Source organism: Homo sapiens, chromosome 10, assembly GCF_000001405.40.
Source record: "Homo sapiens chromosome 10, GRCh38.p14 Primary Assembly".
Taxonomy (NCBI): Eukaryota; Metazoa; Chordata; class Mammalia; order Primates; family Hominidae; genus Homo; species Homo sapiens.
The window spans coordinates 96,375,140-96,391,074 of NC_000010.11; the positions used below are offsets into that span (position 1 = coordinate 96,375,140).

Genomic DNA, 15,935 nt, shown 5'->3' on the forward strand with positions numbered 1-15,935 from the left:
GTGGTGGGTAGAGACACGGGACAGGGGAGCAGTGGCACCGGGACGGCCATGCAGTGGAAGGGAGCCTTAGGCTCAGCAGGCAGGGAGCTCCCAGGAGGTCCATGGGGCGCCCTGTCGCCACCCACATGCAGTGAACACCACCAGCTTCCTTGAGAAGTATTCAACTCACATTCTATGGTAGCGAAAAGCGCGCAATCAATATAGCCACCATCCGTTTCCCAAGGGAACGCCTTTTGGAAACTACCACGTGAGTCTGTGAGCCTCGGGCAAACGCTTCCCGTTGTGCGTTTGCGCGCTCCCAACGCCAGAAGGCGCCTCCCCCGAGGTCCTCGGGGCTCTATGTTGCCATTGCGAACATTTCCCAGCAGATGGCGGTCTTGGAGAAGCAGTGCCTTTCCCTAAGGCTCTCTTCAGTTCATCCTCACCCAGATTCAAGGCTGACCCGGGATACCAGCTCTTAGCAGAGCAGCAGTTTCCCCACGGGCAGCCCAGCATGTGAACTGCCCGCTGGGAGCACCCTGTGGTCAGAGGCCCTGTCTTCACCCCTCGACGCCCTGGGGGCCCATTCGCCTCTTCTGCTCCTCACTCATGGCTCTCACCAATAAACAACCTGCAAGTCCCTGCGCCATAGTCCATTGATCATGGACTTTTCCCTCTCTGTTCTCTTCCATTCTCCCTGAGTTATCGTCCACAGTTCATAGGGTCAATCCTACTTACCTCTACAGTCAGAAAAACCCATTTAAAAAATGTCCATCTGCCTGAAGTACAATACATTCTCCAGCTGGCAAAAGGGGTTCTTTATTCTCCAAAGTGTGGGAGTCCCTGGGGGTTGAGAAATGAGACTCCTAGGAGATTCAACTCTCCTTTGAAATAACTGTGCAAACCACACATCATATACGTGAAAAAGACTTCAAATAAAGGCTTGGGGAAAATTTTTAATTCAAGAGGGAATTTGCATAAAGAACTTAGTCTCCTATTACTAATGGGAAAAAAAAGTAAGTTGTAGAAAAAATACGAATGGGATTTTATTAGAGGAATTTGAGTAACAAAAACATATATATTTCCCTGTGCACTGACAGTCATGATTGTGCACAGAAAATTTCTAGAAGGATCCATAAGAATGTGTTTAGAGTGGTCATTTCTAGAGTGGAAATGGGGGCTCTGGGGTCTTTTGATTTCTATTTCCAACCTCCTGTACTGATTCATCTCATTTTTAATCATGAGACTGTATTGTCTTGTAAAAAATTAAAACTGGAAACAAGTGAATCTCAAACAGCACTGCAGATGTGGGTGGTGGATGCCGCCTCCTGCGGGTCCCACTGTGCCCAGGTGTGACCTATAGAGCTTTTGTGCGTTGTCTCTTTTAATCTGCACAACAGCCCGATGAAGTAGGCTTCATTAGTATCCATGTTTTCCAGATAATGAAACTGAGACCTGGAAATGTTGAGTAACTTCCAAGTTACAGAGCTGGGAAGTGGCAGAGCAGAGACTCAAACGCACATCTGCCTGATACTCAAGTCCACATTCTCAATAAACTACAAAAATGACTCACGAGTTTCACTCTGTGGCCTGCAGTCGAAGAGATGTTCCAGGTACACTCCCTCCGGCTGGGGTATTTGTCAGGCCAGTTGGGGCTCGCCAGGGTCCCCTCCACACTGCTGATCTTGTGTGCACAGCCAGCTGGGGGTGGCAGGGGGACACATACAAAGAGAGAAGTCATTCACTGTGGGCAGCACAAGAAGGATTCTAGGGGGGTCTCCTCCCCTCTCTCCTAATTGTCTCAGGGTCTTTATCAAATATGGGGGTGGGGTATCCTGAATCAGGTATCTCCTGGCTCAGGGATGTGCTGGTTTACTTGCACTGGCTTTTCTGCCTTCCTGACTGTGGCTCGGGGGCCAGGCTATCTTTCTATTCCTATCCACATTGCAGTTATCCTTGCAAATATGTTAAAAGCACTGGCAGTGGGGTCAGGTGGGCCTCGGCCCATGTCCTGGTTCTGCCACCTACAATCTGTGGGACTTGGGGCTCTTATGTAAGCTTCGGTGTCCTTATTTGTAAAAGGGTGCCACTCTAGTCAGGGTGATATGTGATCGAATGAGATAATGCATGGGAAAGGCTTAGGGCATGCCAGCCCATGGTAAGTGCTCAGTGCATCTTGGCTAACAGAGGCCTCCTTCATCATCCATCCATAAGCTTCTTTTAGTTTTTCAAAGTGGCTTTATTTGGAGTCTACCAAGTTTGTCCTGGTTACAGTGCTATTTGCCAAGAGTGGTCCCACAACTTGTTCAATGCCTGGCATCTTGGCCAATAGCTGCCATTTCTCTTCTGTGGTGGGCACTGTGGTCAGCATTTTCCATGCATCCTCTCTTTTAGTCCTTCTCACTTCCCAAATAAGAAAATAGGTTTGGAGAGGGTCAGTGCCTTGCTGATAGGGGGCAGAGCTGGGACTCGAACTTGGCCTGCCTGGCTTTGAGGCCAGTCTACCACTGCTTAGAAAGCACGGTGGACTGTATCACAAACACGGAGGCTCCACACTGAAGAAGCTGGAGAGGCAGGTGAGGAGGGCCGGGGGCAGGAAGGGGAGGAAACAGCTTCGAGGATGTTCCAAAGAGATTTGCCTCTGCTCAGTGCTACATCTGCTCTGCAGCCAACGCAGAGAACAGGTGCTCAAAGGGGCAGTGGCTCAGCTCCTGGGACATTTGCTCAGCTCCTGAGATGTTGCTCTGACACCCCCTGCTGTTGGGGTCAACCCACATGAATGCAGCCACTATTCAGGGGTGGGATCTTGGGAGAGTTGACGTCACTCCTGTCCTCTCCCACACTGCAGGAGGCAAGCCTGGTCCTGGCCCGGGCCCATCTCACAGGGGCTTGACTGTTCCTTCCCAGCTCAGTTCTTCCAGCAGCCTCCCACCCAGCCCCTCCGCCACCTGTGACCATGCCCTAGGGCTGGGCTTGGAGGGTGGCCACCTCCTCCTGAAGATGTGTCAGCGCCTCCTTTAACATTCTAGGCAGATCCTGACCAGACTCTGCGGCACCCAGCCAAATCTCCTAAATCCAGACTGTTTATTCCAGAGATCAGGGTGTGTGTCTTCCACATCTTCCTCCACCCTTGACTTCCTTTGCAGGGTTTCGTGGCTGGAGCCAAGGCCTGGAAGCCTGTGTGTTTGTCATAAATGTTCGAAATCCCTTCACTGGGCAGGGTAAGAACAGAAGGAAGGCTTTTTCCAGGATGACTGGACAGTAAAAGCCACCTGGCCCTGAAGAATTCCCCACAGTGTAATGGAGAATGGAGCAAAGCTTTCCCCAAATCCTATTTTCCAATGGGACCTGCATATGGTAATTAATATATGACAAAGACATAAATGGCTGATCTTTATTGACATTTGAGGACATAACATGTGTCAGAGAGTCTGAAATACTTTCTAGGCATTCTTTTAATCCTCACAAAAACTTTAAGAAGGAGGTATGTTTAGACCCTTTTAACTAAAGAAAAAACTGAGGCTCAGAGAGGTTAAATAGCTTGCCCAAGGTCACACAGCTAGGGAACGGCAGAGCCAGGATTTAGACCTAGGTAATTGGATTCCAGAGCCTGCAGGCTTAATCACTTACAAAAATAACAGCCTAGAGCACCTGAGGCCCCCAGGTGCCTCCTGAAGGAGCGAGATGCCCTGGGGAAAACTCTCCCGCAAGGACAGCAGTTGCTGGGCCTCAGCTCAGAAGGTGGAAGAGGTCCTCGCCGCACCTCCTTACTCATGCACATGCACACAGGGGCATGGGGTGCGGCGAAGGGCAGCCCGCCCCCCCAACAACTGGAGGTCCAGCCTCACCCTCTTTGCAGTCATGCCCATTCTCGTGGAGCCAGTAGCCGTTTCTGCACCTGCACAGGTAGCTCCCGAAGGTGTTGACGCACTCATGCTGACACCCGCCGTTGTCCTTGGCACACTCGTCCTTATCTGGGGAGATCAATGAACTCTTCTAAGAGGAACCGCCAACTTGCAAATGTCCCTCAGGGCTCAGAATCCCACTTAAAAGTGGCCTCCTCTGGGAAGCCTCTCTGATTGCTCCCCTTCCCCCTCTGATTGTTCCCTCACTGGAGGAGTGAAGTGGGAAGCATCTTCACCTCAGGTTTCTTGGGTATGTACTTGGCCCTGGTATGTGTTGAATTCTCCAAGTACTTTATGTATGTTCTCTGCCCCTGCTCCCTGCTCAAAACAAGGAGCTCCCTAAAGGACAGGCTTGTATTAATCACAATAGTAACAATAATAACAGTAATTCCCACTTACTGAGTGTTTACTATGCAACAGGCACTGCCCCAAACACTGTATGCATTATCTAAGTTAATTCTCATCCAACCTTAGCAGGGAGCTGTCTATCTGTCAGTCTTTACAAGTAAGGAAACTGGCCAGGCATGGTGGCTCATGCCTGTAATCCCAGCACTTTGGGAGGCCGAGGTGGGTGGATCACCTGAGGTTGGGAGTTCGAGACCAGCCTGGCCAAAATGGAGAAACCCTGCCTCTACTAAAAATACAAAAATTAGCCAGGCGTGGTGGTGCATGCCTGTAATCCCAGCTACGCGGGAGGCTGAGGCAGGAGAATTGCTTGAACCTGGGAGGCAGAGGTTGCAGTGAGCAGAGATCGCGCCAGTGCACTCCAGCCTGGGCAACAAGAGTGAAACTCCATCTCAAAAACAAAACAAAACAAAAACAAGTAAGGAAACTGACGCTGAGAATGGCTAATGTGATCAAGGTCACTCAGTGAGCAAGCATCCTCTGTGGCCTGGGCTCAAGTGCCGCGACTCCACCCCGCCCTCTGCACGTGGAGCAGCTGAGTGTTGGGGACACACAGCAGAGGGCCAGCCCTACCGCACCACTTCCAGCCCTTGTGGCCATGGGCAGTTCCTGCCCTCTGTGCCTCAGTTGCCTCACTTGTAAAATGGAGACAGTAATGGTATCCTCATTTCACAGGTTGTTGGGAGGGGTAAATTAATTAGAGCAGCATCCAGCCCACAGTGTTAGCTGTATAATTATTATGTGAGAACTCAAGTGCTGGCCCTTGTTAAACTTGTGGTCCTTGTATGCAGCCCTATCCTAAGCCAACTTGTTCCTGCATTTACCAAAGATCAGCCTCCCTCCCCTGCTTCCCTGCCATCACCAGAATGACTTTAGGGGTCAGCCCTGTCTTCCTCCCCTCTCTATATGCTCTTGTTCACCATTGTTAATGTCTCCTTGAACAATGTATTTCACCTGCTTATGTTATCAGGACAACTAAGAGCCCTTGTAAGAAAGACCCTTTGCTTTGGGAGGCCAAGGCAGGCGGATCACGAGATCAGGAGATTGAGACCATCCTGGCTAACACGGTGAAACCCTGTCTCTACTAAAAATACAAAAAATAATAATAATAATAATTAGCCGGGCGTGGTGGCGGGCGCCTGTAGTCCCAGCTACTCGGGAGGCTGAGGCAGGAGAATGGCATGAACCCAGGAGGCGGAGCTTGCAGTGAGCGGAGATTGCACCACTGCACTCCAGCCTGGGCGACAGAGCGAGACTCTATCTCAAAAAAAAAAAAAAAAAAAAAAAAAAAAAAAGAATGCAGAAGAGAGGCCAGGCGTGGTGGCTCATGTCTGTAATCCCAGCACTTTGGGAGGCCGAGGCGGGTGGATCACCTGAGGTCCGGAGTTCGAGACACAAATTAGCCAGGCATGGTGGCAAGCACCTGTAATCCCAGCTCCTCAGGAGGCTGAGGCAGGAGAATCGCTTGAAGCCAGGAGGCGGAGATTGCGGTGAGCGGAGATTGCGCCATTGCACTCCAGCCTGGGCAACAAGAGCGACACTCTGTCTCCAAAAAAAAAAAAAAAGAATGCAGAAGAGATGAAGCCGCCCAACACCCAGCACTGACCCACCTCTCTCCCTTCCTTCCTCCAAGTCCTTCTGCAGATGACTCACAGGTCCTCACCCCTGCTCTGATCCTCTTCCCTGTGCTCTAGTTTCCTATTGCAAATGTGGAGCTGCCCTGCCTGTGAGGCTCTGCTACATCCTCCTCTGAGGTGGCTCCTGCCCCCTGCCCTGCTGCCCTGGTCCTCCAGCCGCCTGGCCCTCCCAGCTCTACACTGCCTGGCATGGCTTGGTCAGATGACAAGTTTAGGCTTCCCCTGCTCAAGAACCTGCAAACAGTCCCCCTTCCTGTTTCATCGGGTCCCTACTCTTCAGCCCAGCGTTTAAGGTCCCTCATGACCTGGCCTTCTCCAACTTGGCCCATCTCGTGCCCTTGGCTTCCCAGCATGGGTCAGGGCTCCATGCAGGCCCATCTCATCTCTGTCTCTGTGCTCTGTTGAGAACTTAACCTGTGCTCACACTGCCTCCCCTACTGGGGACCCTGATTACTTTCTCTCTAATCATCCTATCTCCACCTCCATGTCTTCCATCCTTTAAAACCTGGCTTAGACCACCCCAAATCCTGCAAAAAGTCTTCACCCACTGCTCCAGGCAACCATGGGCTTCTCTTCTTCAAACATTAGCCCTTGTTGCACCAGCCCACCCCACAGTGCTCCAGGCTGGGACTTAGCAGGGTGTGTATTCCTGGCTCCCTAGCTGGCATGTAAGCTTGTCCAGGGTTGGGGTCATTTCCCTGGCAGCAGCTCTGAGCCTAGTAGTGTACTGTGCCCACAGCAGACACTCAAAACAAAAAACATGACTTGCTCAGTGAGAGACTGCCAAAAAAAAAATGCATGGAGATGGAACTCTGGGTATCTATAAAATCAACAAATAATTGGGTCATTTCTATGCCAAGCATTAAGACTATAAAGATAACCAAAGTACAGTTCCTGCTTGTAAACAGTTCACCCTCTAATATGACGTGACATGCAGGACCTGCTACACAGTTTGCAAGGCTCAGTGCAAGATTTGCACTTTGTTGAAACACTATTATGAATTTCTTTCTTTTTTTTTTTGAGACGGCATCTTGCTCTGTCACCCAACCTCTGCCTCCCTGGCTCAAGCGATTCTCCTGCCTCAGCCTCCCGAGTAGCTGGGACTACACATGCGCCAGCGCGCCCAGCTTATTTTTTGCATTTTTAGTAGAGACGGGGTTTCACCACGTTGGGCAGGATGGTCTCGATCTCTTGACCTCGTGATCCACCCGCCTTGGCCTCCCAAAGTGCTGGAATTACAGGCATGAGCCACCATGCCCGGCCATGAATTTCAAGATGATGACAACAGAACCTTAAATTAGTGTGGGCCCTTCCGAGAACAGGCTCTGTGCTATTGCACAGGCCACAGGCCCATGGAGCTGGCCCCTGGTGACAAGAGCCCTAATGGAAGGGAAGGAGAGAGTGCTATGGGAACACTGGTAAAAGAACAATCAATGTGCTAAGAGGGTGCTACGGTTTGAATGGGTCCCCCAAAGTTCATGTGTTATAAACTTAATCCCCAATGCAACAGTGTTGAGAGATGAGGCCCTTAAATGTGATTAGGTCATGAGAGCTCATTATTGCAGGAGTGGCGTCCTGACAAAGGATGAGTTTGACCCCCTTGCCGCTCTTTCTCACCCATGTGGTGCCTTTCACCTTGTTATGACACAGCAAGAAGGCATTTGCCAGATGTTCCCCCTTGATTTTGGACTTCCCAGCCTCCAGATTCATAAGCCAAATACATTTCTGTTCACTATAAATTACCTAGTCTGTGGTACTCTGTCATAGCAGCACAAAATGGACTAAGATAGAGGAATAAGACGAAGCCAGACAAAATGGACTAAGATAGAGGAATAAGACGAAGCCAGAGAATGTTACAGAAAGTGGCATTGTGGGTCTTCAGGTTGAAGTAGGAGTTTCCTAAGGAGGGAGGGAAGAAGGATATTCCAGGGAGAGGGAACGCCACAGGCAGAGGGTATGAAGACAGAATGGGATGGGGGTTTAGGAGTAGAAGGTGATGGTGTGGGGGAACAGTGGGGGGATTATTCGTGATCAGAGCACAGGGCACCTGCAGAGGGAATGTGGCTGGCAGAACAGGTGGGCCAAGGCAGTGTCCAGCACCACATGCCACGCTAAGGAGAATGGGCTTTTTCTACAGCTGCTGTACTGGCCCTGAGGGTTCATGGCCTTCAGTTTGAGAAGTAGGGTCCAATGTGCTGCTGTAGTGGGTTTAGTAGTGTCTTCCCAAAATTCCTGTTCATGTGTGATATGGTTTGGCAGTGTCCCTACCCAAATCTCATCTTGAATTGTAGCTCCCATAATTCCCACGTGTTGTGGGAGGAACCCGGTGGGAGAGAATTGAATCATGGAGGCGGTTTCCCCCATACTGTTCTTGTGGTGGTGAATAAGTCTCACGAGATCTGATGATTTTATAAGGGGTTTCCCCCTTCACTTGGCTCTCATTCTGTATTGTCTGCAGCCATGTAAGACATGCCTTTGCCTTCTGCCATGATTGTGAGGCCTCCCCAGCCATGTGAAACTGTAAGTCCATTAAACCTCTTTTTCTTCATTTTTTATTTTTTATTTTTTGCCCCGAGATGGAGTCTTGCTCTGTCACCCAGGCTGGAATGCCATGGCACCATCTTGGCTCACTGCAACCTCCACCTCCTGTGTTCAAGCGATTCTCCTGCTTCAGCCTCACGAGTAGCTGGGATTACAGGCACACACCACCACGCCCGGCTAATTTTTTTTTTTTTTTTTGTATTTTTAGTAGAGACGGCGTTTCACCATGTTGGCCAGGCTGGTCTAGAACTCCTGACCTAGTGATCTGCCCGCCTCGGCCTCCCAAAGTGCTGGGATTACAGGCATGAGCCACCACGCCCGGCCTAAACCTCTTTTTCTTTATCAATTACTCAGTCTCAGGTATGTTGTGAAAACAGACTAATACAATGTGGAACCTTAGAATGTGATCTTACTTGGAAATAGTGTCTCTGCAGAACTATTAGTTAAGAATCTTGAGATGAAATCATCTTGGATTTAGGATCAACCCTAAATCCAATGACTGGAGTCCTTCTAGGAAAAGGAGGGGACACAGAGACCCAGAGAAGAAGGAAGGGCATGTGAAGATGGAGACAGAGATCAGGATGATGCAGCTACAAGGCAAGGAATGCCAAGGACTGCTGGGAGCCACCACAGGCTAGGAAGAGGCAGGGAGGGATTCTACCCTAGAACTTTCCGAGGCAGCATGGCCCTGCGAACACCTGGATTTTGGAATTCTGGCCCCCAGAACTGTAAGAATAAGATTCTGTTGTGTTAAACCAACCAGTTTGTGGTAATTTGTTATGGCAGCCCTAGGAAACTAACACAGCCACCAATAGATATATAAAAGCCCTGGATCTGGCACGCCCCCTCCAAGGCAGCCATACCTGGAGGGATGCAGGAGCAAGCAAAGAGAGAGAGGAGGGGGCCAGGGACCCCAGAGCCTGGAGTCTGCAAAGCCGCCTCACTCGCGCTGCATCAGCCTCACCTCTGAACCCGCATACCTGAGAAGAAGTGGGCCCTGAAGCCGCGCTTGGAGACGGTGTTGTCGGACTTGAACTCCACGCGCATGTTGTTGCTCTGCGAGGTGATGACCTCCGGCGTCTCAGAGCCGCAGAACCTGCCGTGCAGCTTGGCGTCGGGGGACAGGCCGCTGCGCACCTCTACAAAGTCGTACTTACAGACCTGCAAGGGAGCATGATGGGGAGCTTCCCAGAGTCCCTGTCCCCACCCCAGACCCCCAGCACACTGCTGCACCTGCTTCCTGAGCGCCTCACCCTACCGTGTGTGGCGGGGGAGGGTCCCTTGACTCTTGCTACGCCGGTTATTTGAATGAGCTCCAGAGGGCACAGGGGGACCCCTGGCTCTCCCACTGAGGCTCTGTGGGGGTGCCATCGCCTGGCACAAGAGCACAGGGCTCCCAAACCTGCATCCCCGTAATTGTAGCCTTGCTTTAATTTATTTTATATATTAGGCTTCCACATGAAATTTTACTTGAAGAAAGGGCCCCACTGCTAGAAGGAGAAGAAAAATAAGGAGAAGAGGATGAGGGAGAAGCAAGAGGAAGAGGAGGAGGAAAATCCTGCAAACCACCGACAGAATCTGACTCCATTTTCAGGCAGGGAAACAAGCTCAGAGGGGGAAAGACATTTGTCTGAAGTCACATAGCTCAGCAGTGGTGGAGCTAGGACTAGAATTCATGTTCCTTGCTGTAGCAATGATTTTTCTCAAAAAGAACTTCACTGCTAAGGGGTCTTATCAATTGCTTTCAAGGATTATTTTTTTCTGCACAATATTCACTTTGGGGTGACACCCTCATGGGCGCCATGGCCTCCATGCATTGGGGTCATCAGCATTGAGGTCTCCTTCCAGTACCCCAAAGGCCTGATCAGGTGAGAGCTACACCAGTACTATTCTCAAGGTGAGACCCCCAGCTCAGCTGGGGTGGGGAGGGGAGTCTCAGGAATGGCTTGTGTGCCCCAGGGTGTCCTTCCAGCCTAAGGTGCAGACGTAGGCATGCCTGACTAGCACTCCAGCTGTAGGGTGCTGCCTGGACCTCAACTGACTTGATCATCCATGATCACTGCCCGAAAGAGGAAACAGGCTGTCTGTAGCATCCTTGTCCCTAGCTGATTCTCACCCCCTTTATTCGCCTCAGCTGCACACCAGCTCCCCAGACTCACAGCCCAGTCCTGACACCTCCCACCCCCAATATCTGCCTCTTCCACTCTTGTCCTGATTCTCCTTGGATGTATCAGCGACAAGAGGGCCGGAGGTGCTCTATCTGCAGAGGGCGTGCGGCTGAAACTGCTGGAGAAAACATTCCCCCAGATTCTGCTAGCGCAGGTCCTAAGACTGTCCAAAGCTTCAGTCAACACAAGCCATCTCCCTGCCCTCCCAGCCCCTCACTGGTTTCCAGCTCTGAGTCACCCCTCAATACAGTCCCCAATCAATTAGAGCATGGAGACATACGTCATTGCCTTCCAGTTCAAACACTTCAAACTGAAGGGAGATCCGGTACTGAGCGGGGGCCACCACCTGCCAGACACAGTTTTTGTTTGTGGGATACTCCTTCGGCCACCCAGGGCTGGTGATGGTTCCATTCAGCTTGGTAATGAAACCGCCACAGGCCACTGCACGGGGGAAACAGAAACAGGATTCATTTGGCTTTGGCTCCAGGTGACTGTGATTTCCCACCAGGAGCAATAGAGCCTTGCTGTTCTGTAATAATTTTAAAATGTTAGACAATTTGAACTGATTAATTCAGTGTCCTTTGTTCAAAACTAATGGTTTCAACTGAATATTTGAAGGAACAAAATTGGGGATAAATCTTTACTGCTTTTAAAAACAATGAATGCATTTGTGCTTTCCTTTCACCCAGTGGCAGAGCTGGGGGCTCCCTATGGCTTGGGCCAAAGGAGAATTAGAAATGTTTGCAGCAAGCTACTCACCATACCAAGCTTGCATGAACAAGCGGATTCATGCACGTGGACAAGGAAGATGGAACACAAGCCAGGTAGAAATAGGATGGATGAAAAGTGCTATCGGTTGAGTCACTGGAGTGCTCACAGTTTTTCTTTGCTTTTGTTTCCTACTTTAATAATCATGTCAATTTCACACAATCATAGAAGAAAAACCATGGCCTTGATTTCAGTCTCTAGGGCAGAGTCTATGTAATTTGGGCAGTTTTCTGACATTTGTGACAGCTGTCAGGCTGTTTCTCCTTCTAGGAAGTAGGTGGGTCTTCCACCATGTCTGCCCATTGCCCATCGTTCCTACACAGCCAGCTGGTTGCCCCATCTCTGCCCCACTTCCCCAAAGACTTGTCCCATATACCCTCTCATTCTAGCTTGGCAGGTCCCACACCAACCTTCACACATCTTCTTATCGGCGGCCAGCTCGTAGCCAGGGTCACAGGCACACTTGTAGCTGCCCAGCGTGTTCACACAGCGATGCTCGCACCCGCCGTGATCTGGCCAGGAACACTCATCCACCTCTGGTGGGGAAGGAAGGTGACCCCGGTTACATTGTCAGGAAGCCTCCTGGCTGTTCCCAACCCTTGCATATCCCAGTGTCACCAGCAAGTGTCCTCTAATAAACAGGAGCCACTCCTGGTGACCACCTCCCAAAGAGTGCCATGTCCACCTCTGAAAACCAGGCAGCAGCTACAGTGAAGGCAGGACACTGACAACACGAGCAGGAACACCTTGTTAGCTGGGGTAGGCTCTGCCAAGAGAAGGCCAGGCCTGGAGAAGTGAATTCTTTGAGGTGTTTGGTCATCGGTCATTTGAGACTTCAAAAAATCTCAAAACATTCCATACCAAAGACTTCATCCATTTTAAAACCATGGAATTGAGGACTTCCCCTGCCCCCATAAATATGCAACTTCTCAGAGATATTAAATAAAGGGTGAAGACAAAGAAAACATTGCTAGATGAAGATGTGTCAGTATTCTCTAGACATTAGAGACAGAATCTGTTATTTAGGAGTTTTAGAAATACTCTTAAGAGAGGTATGCACAGGGAGATATTCAAGGTTACAGAAAACACGGGCTCTTAGGTTAGCAAATGCTCCCAGGAAAACCTGCAGGAAGAGGCCATAATGAGGCTGAGTTAGCAGGGGCGTTGGATGGGATTCAGCACCAAGGGCCTAGTGATGCGTTTGGGGCGACTAAATAACAGCACATAGCATGCCATCGGTGCTGCTCAGAGGAAGAACCTGGAAGTCATTAGAGACACTCCCCAGACACATTAACCCAAGCGCCACTGAAAAAAAGAAAAACCAAAACACATGTTAGAAATAAAAGGAAAAATATGATTATCTGTTGCCAGCCATAGTACATCTAGCCCTGAAAGAGAGCATGTGGGATGTGGCCTACCAGAGCGAGAAAGGAGTCTAGTGAAGGGACAACTGAACACTGAGACATCTTTTTCAAAAAAGTTGAACCTAGGAAGAAGAAAGGATATGGGGAGAAGCGGGAAGGAGAGTTCAGGTCCACAGCACCACGGAAGGTAGGAACACAGTAAGTATAAAGTTGTTGGCCAGGCACGGTGGCTCACGCCTGTAATCACAGCACTTTGGGAGGCTGAGGCGGGTGGATCACAAGGTCACAAGTTTGAGACCAGCCTGGGCAACATGGTGAAACCCCGTCTCTACTAAAAATACAAAATTAGCCGGGAGTGGTGGTGCATGCCTGTAATCCCAGCTACTCGGGAAGCTGAGGCAGGAGAATCGCTTGCACCTGGGAGGTGGAGGTTGCAGTGAGCTGAGATTGCGCCACTGCACTCCAGCCTGGGCAACGGAGCAAGACTCTGTCTCAACAACAACAAAAAAAGTTGTTCACCAAATCTTGAAATAACTCTTTACACACAAACTAAAAGAAATTAAGAACATCTATGAGTTGGTAAAGACCTGGAAAGTTACCCAGTCATGCCCTCTCAGGCAGGAATCCTTTCAGTAACGTTCTGGAGAGATGGCTCTTCAGACCCTACTTGAAAACTCCCAGAGACAGGACTCTCACTACTTTTCAAAGGTATTTATTGGGTCAAAAGTCTGACTCCTTACAACTTCCAGTCCACTGGTCCTCAGAAAACACAAACCCTCCAATCATCCAGCTTCCCTCTACCCTGCCCTTTTCCAACTCAAATATACCCCTTTCCTTCCAGTCGTCCTTGTCTGTGATGCACAGACTCCTCATCAACCTGGTTGCATTTCACTCGGTAAAGGAGGGTTTGTAAATATCCCATCATTTCACATAGGGGACAGTGAACTTGGGTAACTCTAATGGTGATGTACTCTTGGGCTCAATAAAAACTTATATAAATTAATTGCTTATTAGGGGAGATTGCGTTTAGAGAGACAATCCAGGCAGGGAGCTGAAGTTGCCCATCGCCTCAAATAAATGTAAGTAATAAGTATGCTAAAATAGTAACAAGTGTGCAGTTACTTTTTTTATCACCTTACCAAATTGAAAGTATTTTCTTAGACATTTGCTAAAAAGCATAGAAAGAAGAAAATAGTTGATAAAAAGTAGCGGAAAGAGTCCAGGCTTTAAAGTGAGTCAGACCTGGGGTGGATCCTCCAGCCGATCTTCCTCCAATAAATTGGGTGACTGCTTGTGATTTAGCCTCACTGAGCCTCCCTCCTGCTTTAAAGTGAGAATGATAATATTTACTTTTAGGGTTGTGACGACTGAAAACGATGCATGTGAAGTACCCGGCATACAGACCATCGGCACACAGAAGCCATCATGATAGACAGCAGCAGAGTTGCTTTCAAATTTCCAGTGAGTAGAGAGGCACAATGATGGGGCAGTGAAAAGATAAGGTTCCCTGGGCATACCTGGACCAGGTGGGAGTGGAGCAGTGCAGGCCTGAGGAGGGAAGGGAGACAAGGCAAGAACAGAAAGAAGGAAAATGCTTCAAGGATGGGCCAGTGGAGGAAGATGGACGGGCAGGAGGGCAGCACAGCAGAAGAACTCAAGACACTGGCTGGGGGACCTAGGGAAGAGGCAGAAGGAAACCAAGGAAAGAGCCCATTGGGAGAGACAGATAGACAAAGGACCAAGGCTGGGGTCTGCAGGAGACTCTGATACCAGAAGATGCTGTGGCTGTAGGCAGGACACACAGGCAAGAAAGAGGTGCACAGAGGAGCAAGTCTCTTGGCACCATCTTAGCCAGGTGAAGGGAGAGAGCCCGGTGGATGGACCTAGGGCAAAAGCAAAGAAAATATAATTCCTCCAGAGACTAGAAGGTAAGGTGCTCGGCCTTGGGAGGTAGATGAAAGGCATGCTTTTACACCTGAGCTCTCTCTAGCAAGAGCCGTGAGATGTTTGGCCAGTTACAGCCCTGCTTCAGCTTGGCTAGATGGCACAGAGGTGCATGGGGCCTCCCACTGTGGTAAAGCAGCACCTGCTCCAAGCCCACTGGCTCGTGCTTGCTCTGGGCTGCAGAGGCCAAGGCCAAGGCCAAGCCTCCCAGAAAAATCTGGGAGAGCGTGGCAGTAGAAGAGACTGGAAGCAGCATTCAGCTTAGCATAGCAGGAGCTCTGGAGTCTTCTCATGGTCCAGGTGGAATTAGCGAAAGAAGGAAGTAGTTAGATGATGAGACGGCTCAGGCAGGATCCCAAAAATTGTTCAGAGAAAGTTAAGGAAAGGGAAGGCAGGGCATATTCTTAGGCTTTTGAAGAAATCCCTTGAGGGAAGCCAGTCCCCCTACCAAGCCCTTCATGGTGACCTATCAGCACTGGGATAGGGGGATGGAGGGATCAAGGTGGGAAATCTTTAATTCTTTATGTGGGGGGCATAGGACCAAAATGGCCCTGCCAGCCCTTGAGTGCTGCTGCCTTCTCCCAAAGTAACCAGAATTGTTAAGGTTCTCTGCTTGCTGCCAGCCAGTATGCTCTGAGAAGGCTGCCATCTGGCACCAGAATCAGGTACAGAGGCCAACTGGCACCCTGGCCAGGATCAGGCGCCAGCTGGGCCCTGGGCAGAGCACCTGCCAATTGGCACCAAGGCAAGAGCTTCTTTGGCTTGCTCCAGCTCTTCTGCTGGGCCTTTGAGCTCCTCTTCCAGCTTCTTTCACTGGAGAAGTTCTGACACACGTGCTAGGTACGTTGTGTTCACAGAGCATCTGAATGATGGCCTTGTTGGGAAAAGGCTGGGCTGGGGAAGCTGGCTGGGTACAGTCTCCTGACCTGCGCTGTCTGATACGGCAGCCCCCAGCCACATGTGGCTACTGAGCACCTGAAACGCAGTTGGTCCAAGTGGCGATGTGCCATGAGTATAAAACACATGCTGGATTTCCAAGACTTAGTGTGAAAAACATAAGATCTCTCACTAATATTGTGTATATTGATTACATATTAAAATGATATTATTTTGTACAATAAATAAAAATATCATTGAAATCAATGTCACTGGTTTCTCCTTTTTTGTAAGGCAGCTGCCAGCAAATTCAAGGTCACCTATGTGGCTTCTGGTTGTGCCTCACAT

General features: G+C 49.9%; 1 protein-coding gene across 1 annotated transcript in view, besides 1 other annotated feature; it reads right to left on the bottom strand.

Moving 5' to 3' along the window:
- The window catches only part of TLL2 (tolloid like 2), a 149,319-nt gene that overhangs the window by 10,532 nt on the left and 122,852 nt on the right, over positions 1 to 15,935 (bottom strand). Inside the window, exons 14-18 of the mRNA NM_012465.4 lie at positions 11,814 to 11,939; positions 10,916 to 11,076; positions 9,448 to 9,628; positions 3,828 to 3,953; positions 1,553 to 1,680 (exon numbers count right to left, since the gene is read on the bottom strand). Of these exons, the coding sequence (NP_036597.1) occupies positions 1,553 to 1,680; positions 3,828 to 3,953; positions 9,448 to 9,628; positions 10,916 to 11,076; positions 11,814 to 11,939 (722 nt within the window). The remainder of the gene's footprint in view (positions 1 to 1,552; positions 1,681 to 3,827; positions 3,954 to 9,447; positions 9,629 to 10,915; positions 11,077 to 11,813; positions 11,940 to 15,935) is intronic.
- Positions 3,807 to 4,316: an enhancer, noted in NCBI's record as "H3K4me1 hESC enhancer chr10:98138703-98139212 (GRCh37/hg19 assembly coordinates)". NCBI's record gives its function as "activates a minimal SCP1, AML or CMV promoter by ChIP-STARR-seq in naive H9 embryonic stem cells {active_cell/tissue: H9 hESC(naive)}" and the evidence as "EXISTENCE:reporter gene assay evidence [ECO:0000049][PMID:30033119]".